General features: G+C 42.9%; 2 annotated features.

The window, feature by feature from the left end:
• Nucleotides 5280-6479: an enhancer, noted in NCBI's record as "BRD4-independent group 4 enhancer chr21:40203265-40204464 (GRCh37/hg19 assembly coordinates)". NCBI's record gives its function as "activates an origin of replication core promoter dependent on BRD2, P300/CBP, MED14 and CDK7 cofactors, and independent of BRD4, by STARR-seq in HCT116 cells {active_cell/tissue: HCT116}" and the evidence as "EXISTENCE:reporter gene assay evidence [ECO:0000049][PMID:35650434]".
• Nucleotides 5469-5658: an enhancer, noted in NCBI's record as "active region_18463". NCBI's record gives its function as "activates an Ori minimal core promoter by ATAC-STARR-seq in GM12878 lymphoblastoid cells {active_cell/tissue: GM12878}" and the evidence as "EXISTENCE:reporter gene assay evidence [ECO:0000049][PMID:35858748]".

Raw genomic sequence — 8035 nt, forward strand, 5'->3', positions numbered from 1 at the left:
TTCCATTGGCCTACGTTGCACTTTGAACAGATCTTTTAGCCGTGTGTGATTTTGTAACATCCTGCATTGGTCACTTGGAAAATATTGCTTCAAAATGTTAACACATTTCAAAATATAATATTCAACAATTACATTACTTAATATCACCACAAATCACATCAGAAAATTACTGGGAAACTATCAAACTCACAGTGGTGGATACACACTTTTTAAAATTCAAATTTTCACTTGAAACCTCAAATTTTATAATCAGCAACAAATACCCCTAAGTATTTGAGGAGAGATTCTCGGATGTTTATACTAACTACATTAGAATTTGAGGTTTAAGTACTTTTGGAACTGAGGCCACAACACTCTGTCCCCTCAGTGGACTCTGACGTTGTTAAGGTGATGGTGGTCTTAGGACACCTGTTTTCAAATTTGTTCTTTTTACATGCTTCAAAATTAGTGAGTACGCCAAAAAGCTTATATTCATTGGTGTGCTAGAGCCAGCTCACTGCGTTCTCCCAAGAGCTACGTGTCTCTTCCCACCATTTTGGGGGGGAAGCGACAGGCTCACTTTATTTAGTTTTTGAGGAAGGACCAGCCAAATACCCAAATCAGAATAATTTGCCAGTTATTCTCTCAGATAAAAGTGATATTCATGAATAGAGTGGACAGTTTAGCTTGCAACTCAAATACACAATTGCATCTCCTTACAACAATCACCATATTTCAGTATGTGTGCAGACCAGTTCTTTAAGTGTACTTTCCATTTTATTACACAGAAATTAAAAAGATGTGTTTTCCATTAGTAAAAAATAAGTTTTTACTGCTTCATCAAGAGCATTCTTGAGGCCAGGTGTGGTGGCTCACACCTGTAATCCCAACACCTGGGGAGGCTGGGGTGGGCGGATCACCTGAGGCCAGGAGTTCGAGACCAGCCTAGCCAACGTGACAAAACCACATCTCTACTAAAAATACAAAAATCAGCCAGATGCGGTGACACATGCCTGTAGTCCCAGCTACTTTGGAGGCTGAGGTTGGAGAATCACTTGGACCTGGGAGGTGGAGGTTGCAGCCAGCCCGGGTGACAGAGCGAGACTCTGTCTTAAAAAAAAAAAAATTCTTGAGTGAAACTCTTATTTTTTCTTTTCTTTTTTTCTGCAAGTGCATGGTGGTGGTGGAGAGTGCAGTGACACAGTGACTGCCAACTGTTCCGGTTCACGTGATTCTGGTTCAGCACCATAGTGCAAAACCACCTGTGCTTTTATACCATCATAGCAAAGGTCAAAAAGTCAAGCGTGGATTTGTATCCTTGTAAAAATAGTCTTAACCTTGAGGATCCTTCTGAAAGGGTCTCGGAGACCTCAGAGTCTGTGGGGCACATTTTGACAATCGTTCTAGAAAGAAGAGAGGCTCACTCAGAGCAAAAGTGGTGGATCTCTGGAGGACAAAGCGAAGGTAGGGAAAATTAGCCTTTGGCCTCCCAAATCCAGTGTCCGTGCTTCCAGTCTTCTGACCTTTTCATAGCCAGGTAAGGAGGAAGCATTTCTTGTTTAAATCAAGAAGAATTGTCTAGTCTGCATGATAAAGAAAAGTTCCTTCACACAGGGTGAAATGGATACTCTCAAAGCCCTTTTCCTGCCATCCTTCTATCTTTGTTCTTTTCCATGCTCCAGTCCAATTCCAAATCTGTTTCAGGAAACAAAAAATGTATATTTTGCCACTTTTTTTTGAGACAGGGTCTTGCTTTGTTGCCAAGGCTGGAGTTTAGTGGCATGATCACAGCCCACTGTAACCTCAACCTCCTGGACTCAAGTGATCCACCCATCTCAGCCTCCTGAGTAGCTGGGACTACAGGCATGCACCACCAGACCCATCTGATTTTTAAATTTCTTGTAGAGATGGGGTCTCCCTATGTTGTCTAGGCTGGTTTTAAACTCCTAAAATCAAGGGATCCTTCTGCTTTGGCCTCTTAAAGTGCTGGGATTATAGGCATGAGCCACTGCACCTGGTCTTGCCACAGTTTTTCTGAAACTTAGAAGAAAAGAGGAAAGGGAAGGGAAATAAGTATTTAGAGAAATCATTTTTCGGAACATCTTCAAAACTGGGATTGTGCAGAGATGAAGTCATGGGGCCTGCCTGCCCGCCTTTTCCATGGCGGGGAAGAAGCAGAATTACATTTCCGTCAGTTCTGCCCCACATCCTGGCTCTCCCCCATGTCCTGGCTCTCCCCAACATCACTCAACCAGCTTTATTTATTTATTTGTTTATTTATTTATTTATTTATTATACTTTAAGTTTTAGGGTACATGTGCACATTGTGCAGGTTAGTTACATACGTATACATGTGCCATGCTGGTGTGCTGCACCCACTAACTCGTCATCTAGCATTAGGTATATCTCCCAATGCTATTCCTCCCCCCTCCCCCCACCCCACAACAGTCCCCGGAGTGTGATGTTCCCCTTCCTGTGTCCATGTGTTCTCATTGGTTCAATTCCCACCTGTGAGTGAGAATATGCGGTGTTTGGTTTTTTGTTCTTGTGATAGTTTACTGAGAATGATGATTTCCAATTTCATCCATGTCCCTACAAAGGACATGAACTCATCATTTTTTATGGCTGCATAGTATTCCATGGTGTATATGTGCCACATTTTCTTAATCCAGTCTATCATTGTTGGACATTTGGGTTGGTTCCAAGTCTTTGCTATTGTGAATAATGCCGCAATAAACATACATGTGCATGTGTCTTTATAGCAGCATGATTTAGAGTCCTTTGGGTATATACCCAGTAATGGGATGGCTGGGTCAAATGGTATTTCTAGTTCTAGATCCCTGAGGAATCGCCACACTGACTTCCACAATGGTTGAACTAGTTTACAGTCCCACCAACAGTGTAAAAGTGTTCCTATTTCTCCACATCCTCTCCAGCACCTGTTGTTTCCTGACTTTTTAATGATGGCCATTCTAACTGGTGTGAGATGGTATCTCATTGTGGTTTTGATTTGCATTTCTCTGATGGCCAGTGATGGTGAGCATTTTTTCATGTGTTTTTTGGCTGCATAAATGTCTTCTTTTGAGAAGTGTCTGTTCATGTCCTTCGCCCACTTTTTGATGGGGTTGTTTGTTTTTTTCTTGTAAATTTGTTTGAGTTCATTGTAGATTCTGGATATTAGCCCTTTGTCAGATGAGTAGGTTGCGAAAATTTTCTCCCATTCTGTAGGTTGCCTGTTCACTCTGATGGTAGTTTCTTTTGCTGTGCAGAAGCTCTTTAGTTTAATTAGATCCCATTTGTCAATTTTGTCTTCTGTTGCCATTGCTTTTGGTGTTTTAGACATGAAGTCCTTGCCCATGCCTATGTCCTGAATGGTAATGCCTAGGTTTTCTTCTAGGGTTTTTATGGTTTTAGGTCTAACGTTTAAGTCTAATCCATCTTGAATTGATTTTTGTATAAGGTGTAAGGAAGGGATCCAGTTTCAGCTTTCTACATATGGCTAGCCAGTTTTCCCAGCACTATTTATTAAATAGGGAATCCTTTCCCCATTGCTTGTTTTTCTCAGGTTTGTCAAAGATCAGGTAGCCGTAAAAAAGAGAATTTTAGACCAATATCCTTGATGAACATTGATGCAAAAATCCTCAGTAAAATACTGGCAAACCAAATCCAGCAGCACATCAAAAACCTTATCCACCATGATCAAGTGGGCTTCATCCCTGGGATGCAAGGCTGGTTCAATATACGCAAATCAATAAATGTAATCCAGCATATAAACAGAGCCAAAGACAAAAACCACATGATTATCTCAATAGATGCAGAAAAGGCCTTTGACAAAATTCAACAACCCTTCATGCTAAAAACTCTCAATAAATTAGGTATCGATGGAACATATTTCAAAATAATAAGAGCTATCTATGACAAACCCACAGCTAATATCATACTGAATGGGCAAAAACTGGAAGCATTCCCTTTGAAAACTGGCACAAGACAGGGATGCCCTCTCTCACCACTCCTATTCAACATAGTGTTGGAAGTTCTGGCCAGGGCAATTAGGCAGGAGAAGGAAATAAAGGGTATTCAATTAGGAAAAGAGGAAGTCAAATTGTCCCTGTTTGCAGATGACATGACTGTATATCCAGAAAACCCCATTGTCTCAGCCCAAAATCTCCTTAAGCTGAGAAGCAACTTCAGCAAAGTCTCAGGATACAAAATCAATGTGCAAAAATCACAAGCATTCCTATACACCAACAACAGACAAACAGAGAGCCAAATCATGAGTGAACTCCCATTCACAATTGCTTCAAAGAGAATAAAATACCTAGGAATCCAACTTATAAGGGATGTGAAGGACCTCTTCAAGGAGAACTACAAACCGCTGCTCAAGGAAATAAAAGAGGATACAAACAAATGGAAGAACATTCCATGCTCATGGGTAGGAAGAATCAATATCGTGAAAATGGCCATACTGCCCAAGGTAATTTACAGATTCAATGCCATCCCCATCAAGCTACCAATGCCTTTCTTCACAGAATTGGAAAAAACTACTTTAAAGTTCATATGGAACCAAAAAAGAGCCCGCATCACCAAGTCAATCCTAAGCCAAAAGAACAAAGCTGGAGGCATCACACTACCTGACTTCAAACTACACTACAAGGCTACAGTAACCAAAACAGCATGATACTGGTACCAAAACAGAGATATAGATCAATGGAACAGAACAGAGCCCTCAGAAATAACACCCTACCAGCTTTCTTTCCTGATAGGGCTCCAGAACTCCACATGGTGGACACTTGTCACTGGGAATGATTCAGGCTTTAATGGGGCTGCTGGGCGGGAGCACAGGGCTTGAGGGCCAGAGGAAGTGGAGCAGGAACTGTGGCAAGAGGTAGAGGGAGCAAGCTGCCCCATCACCTCTCCTGAAATATCAAGCAAGTTAACAGGAGGATTTGTTGTGATTTGGAGATGGACCTTGGATTATCACTGTCACTGGGTCTGTCAGGCACTATTTGTGACCTTGGGTATGCAATTTAATCACTCTCTGCCTCAGTTTCCCCTCCATAAAGCCAGGTCATTTGTGGCTGTTGGGGGGATTGATCTATTGGGGGTATAAGATTGTGTAAAGTCAGTAACCTGGGATGGGGGTGCTATTTGAACAGAGCACGCCAAGGAAGGTGTGTTTGAGCCAGGGGATCTGCAAAGAAAATATGGATCCCAGACAATCATGTCTCCATTTTCATCAGAAGAAATCCAGGGGCAGAGTTCAGTGATGAAACAAGTACTTAACTGAACCAAGACTCAAACCCTGGTCTTCTGTTTTCTGGTGTTGTCCTCTGGCCAAAATAACCCTGTCATGTTTGGTTGAAGTCATTATAAATGCTGCCCCAGATGCTACCTAGGGCTCCTTCAAGTTTCTAGTTCCTCCTTCCACAAACCAGAGGCCACAGCCCTTGATTTGAATTTTAAATTATCAGGAACCTCCTACCCAAAGAACACACAGCCCTCATTTACAGCAGCTGCTGGCAGCTAGCTGAGTTCGAACAGATGCAAGAATCTCATAATCTGGGCCAGATATTAATCTGTCTTTTCTGTAACAGCAAAACAGAAGGGTGAGTCTTGAAGCAGTGCAGGGGGAAACCCCTTATTGTGCAACTCTTTTGTAACTCCTGGGCGGAGTCTGGACATGTGACTTCTGCTTGAAATTTAACATTAGGGGAAAGACCATTTTTGGTCATAGCTGAGGTGATGACATCTTGGCAACTGGAATGGACATGACCTCTGTTCCATGTACTATGAGTAACTGCCCCCTCCCCATTTCTCAAAGTCATGTTCAGATGGCAAAACTGCCTGGGATTACCACATCTGACTCTTGCTAGCTGTTTCTGTGTCTATGGCTTCATACTGTCCAGACATAGACCTGGGGCTCAGCACACATGTATGTTTGAGTGGCATAAGGTCAGAAGCACAGATCCAGCAAAGACTGTGGCCCGGAGGAAGGTGGGTTGGTTGGAGGAAAGAAAGTGGAGGTGGGAGCAAACGAAGATAAGTAAACAAAAAAATGAGCTCTTAAGCAAAAAAGATTGCCTGTCTGCTGTAGCCTGTAAAGCTCTGATGAGAAACACTTTTATGATTTGCTGGTAAACTCCACCCAATTTGGTTCTGGAAGAGGTTATTTTTCATTGCAGTGTAAGCATGTAATTAGTTAATTGGGAAATATGGCGCCATTTTCAAAGCTCACTTTCATCTGTCATCTCACTTACACCTCCCTGTGACCCTGGGAGATTGGTTTTATTATGCCCATTTTACAGATGTGGAAACTGAAGCTCGGAGAGGTGAACCCCCTAAAAAGAAATTGGAGAGGCTTATCCTGACTCATCCGTGGTCCCTGATTCCTTGTGCCTGAGATGCAGACTGTGGCTTGGGAATAGGGGAGGGCTCAGAGGGCTGGAGCTCAGCTGAGTGGCCGGATGTTCCCTCACAGGGTACCCTCCTTTGGCTTCCTGTTGACCCTAGTAGTTGTCAATAGTGCTGCAGGTGCTCCACGCCTTCCCACCCTCTGGATGAAGCTCATCCTAAGGAATTAGCATCTCATTTCTAATTCTCAGGTCCTCAGGAATCAGACTTGTATTTTGGGTCAAATTTGCATACCTTGGGGCTTCTGTTTTCTCAAGCTATGTATGGACCCCAGAGCAAATCCCAACCATGGTTCAATATCAGCCTCTGGGAATCTGCAGATCACTGGAAGCCAGGCTGCCCACGCTTTCTGGAAGCCACTTCCTAGTGAAGGAGCCCTGGAGGAAAGAGGCAATGGTATAGGAGTCTCCCTAAAGTGAGAAGTGTGGAGCCCAGCACTTCAACTATGTCTGTGGGTGGAGCCAAAATAACCAGTTGCTCCTGATCGCTGCATGTCAGCAATTGTATCACAACAAGAGGCCACAGGGCATCACCCTACCCAACACTGTGATGGGGGCCGGGGTCACATGTGCTTAAGTGTCTCTGTAAATCAGCCCTTCAGTTGGGATTAAGACAGTTCAGGATCCCAAGAACACACATGCACACACACAACCCACTTGCACATACATGTGTGCAGTCACACTTCCAGAGACACACATAGACATACATATGTATACACACATGTGCGTGTGTGCACACAGGTATTCACATGCACACACACACGCACACTTATACACTAACACACATGTGCATATGTGCACGCATGCACACACACACACACACCCCACTCCTTTTGCTTGCTTCACCTTTTCTGTCTCTGCTCCTCCTGGTGGTCATCACCTCCCATGCCCTGTCTCCTGTATCAATGCCCCAGGACTACCTACTATAACAAAGTGTCACAAAGTGGGTGGTTTAAAGCAACAGAAATGTATCCTTTCACAGTTCTGGAGGCTAGAAATCCAAGATCATGGTGTCTATAAGGTTGGTTCCTTTTAAGTGCAGTGAGGAAAGAGCTGGCTCCAGCCCTCTCTCCCATTGGCTGGTAGATGATCATCTTCTCCCTGTGTCTCTTCATGTCACTTTCCCTCCTTGCCCCTCTCTGTGTCCAAATTCCCCCTTTTTATAAGGATACCAGTCATATTGTATTAGGGCCAGATCTAATTATTTCATTTTAACTCAATTACCTCTGTAAGTAACCTACCTCCAAAGACAGTGTCATTTTGAGGTTCTGGGGGTTAGGACTTCAACATATCAATTTGAGGGCACACAATACAGCCCATATACACCTCAACACTAAATAAGTTACATGGTAGTTCTATTTTTACTTCTTTGAGAAATCTTCATCCTGTTTTTCGTAGTGGCTGCACTGATTTTTACTTCCATCAACCGTGTGTCCCCGTCTTTTGATATGTGTGTATGTCATATGTCTTCTTTTGATAAGTGTGTATTCATGTTTTGACCACTTTTTAATGGGATTATTATTATTTGTTGTTGTTTTGACTGTTGACTTTGTTGAGGTTTTTGTATATTCTGGATATTAGTTCCTTGTCCAAATGAATAGTTTGCAGATATTTTCTCCCATCCAAAAGGGCATCTCTTCCCTTTG

The sequence above is a fragment of the Homo sapiens genome, chromosome 21, assembly GCF_000001405.40.
Source record: "Homo sapiens chromosome 21, GRCh38.p14 Primary Assembly".
NCBI lineage: Eukaryota > Metazoa > Chordata > Mammalia > Primates > Hominidae > Homo > Homo sapiens.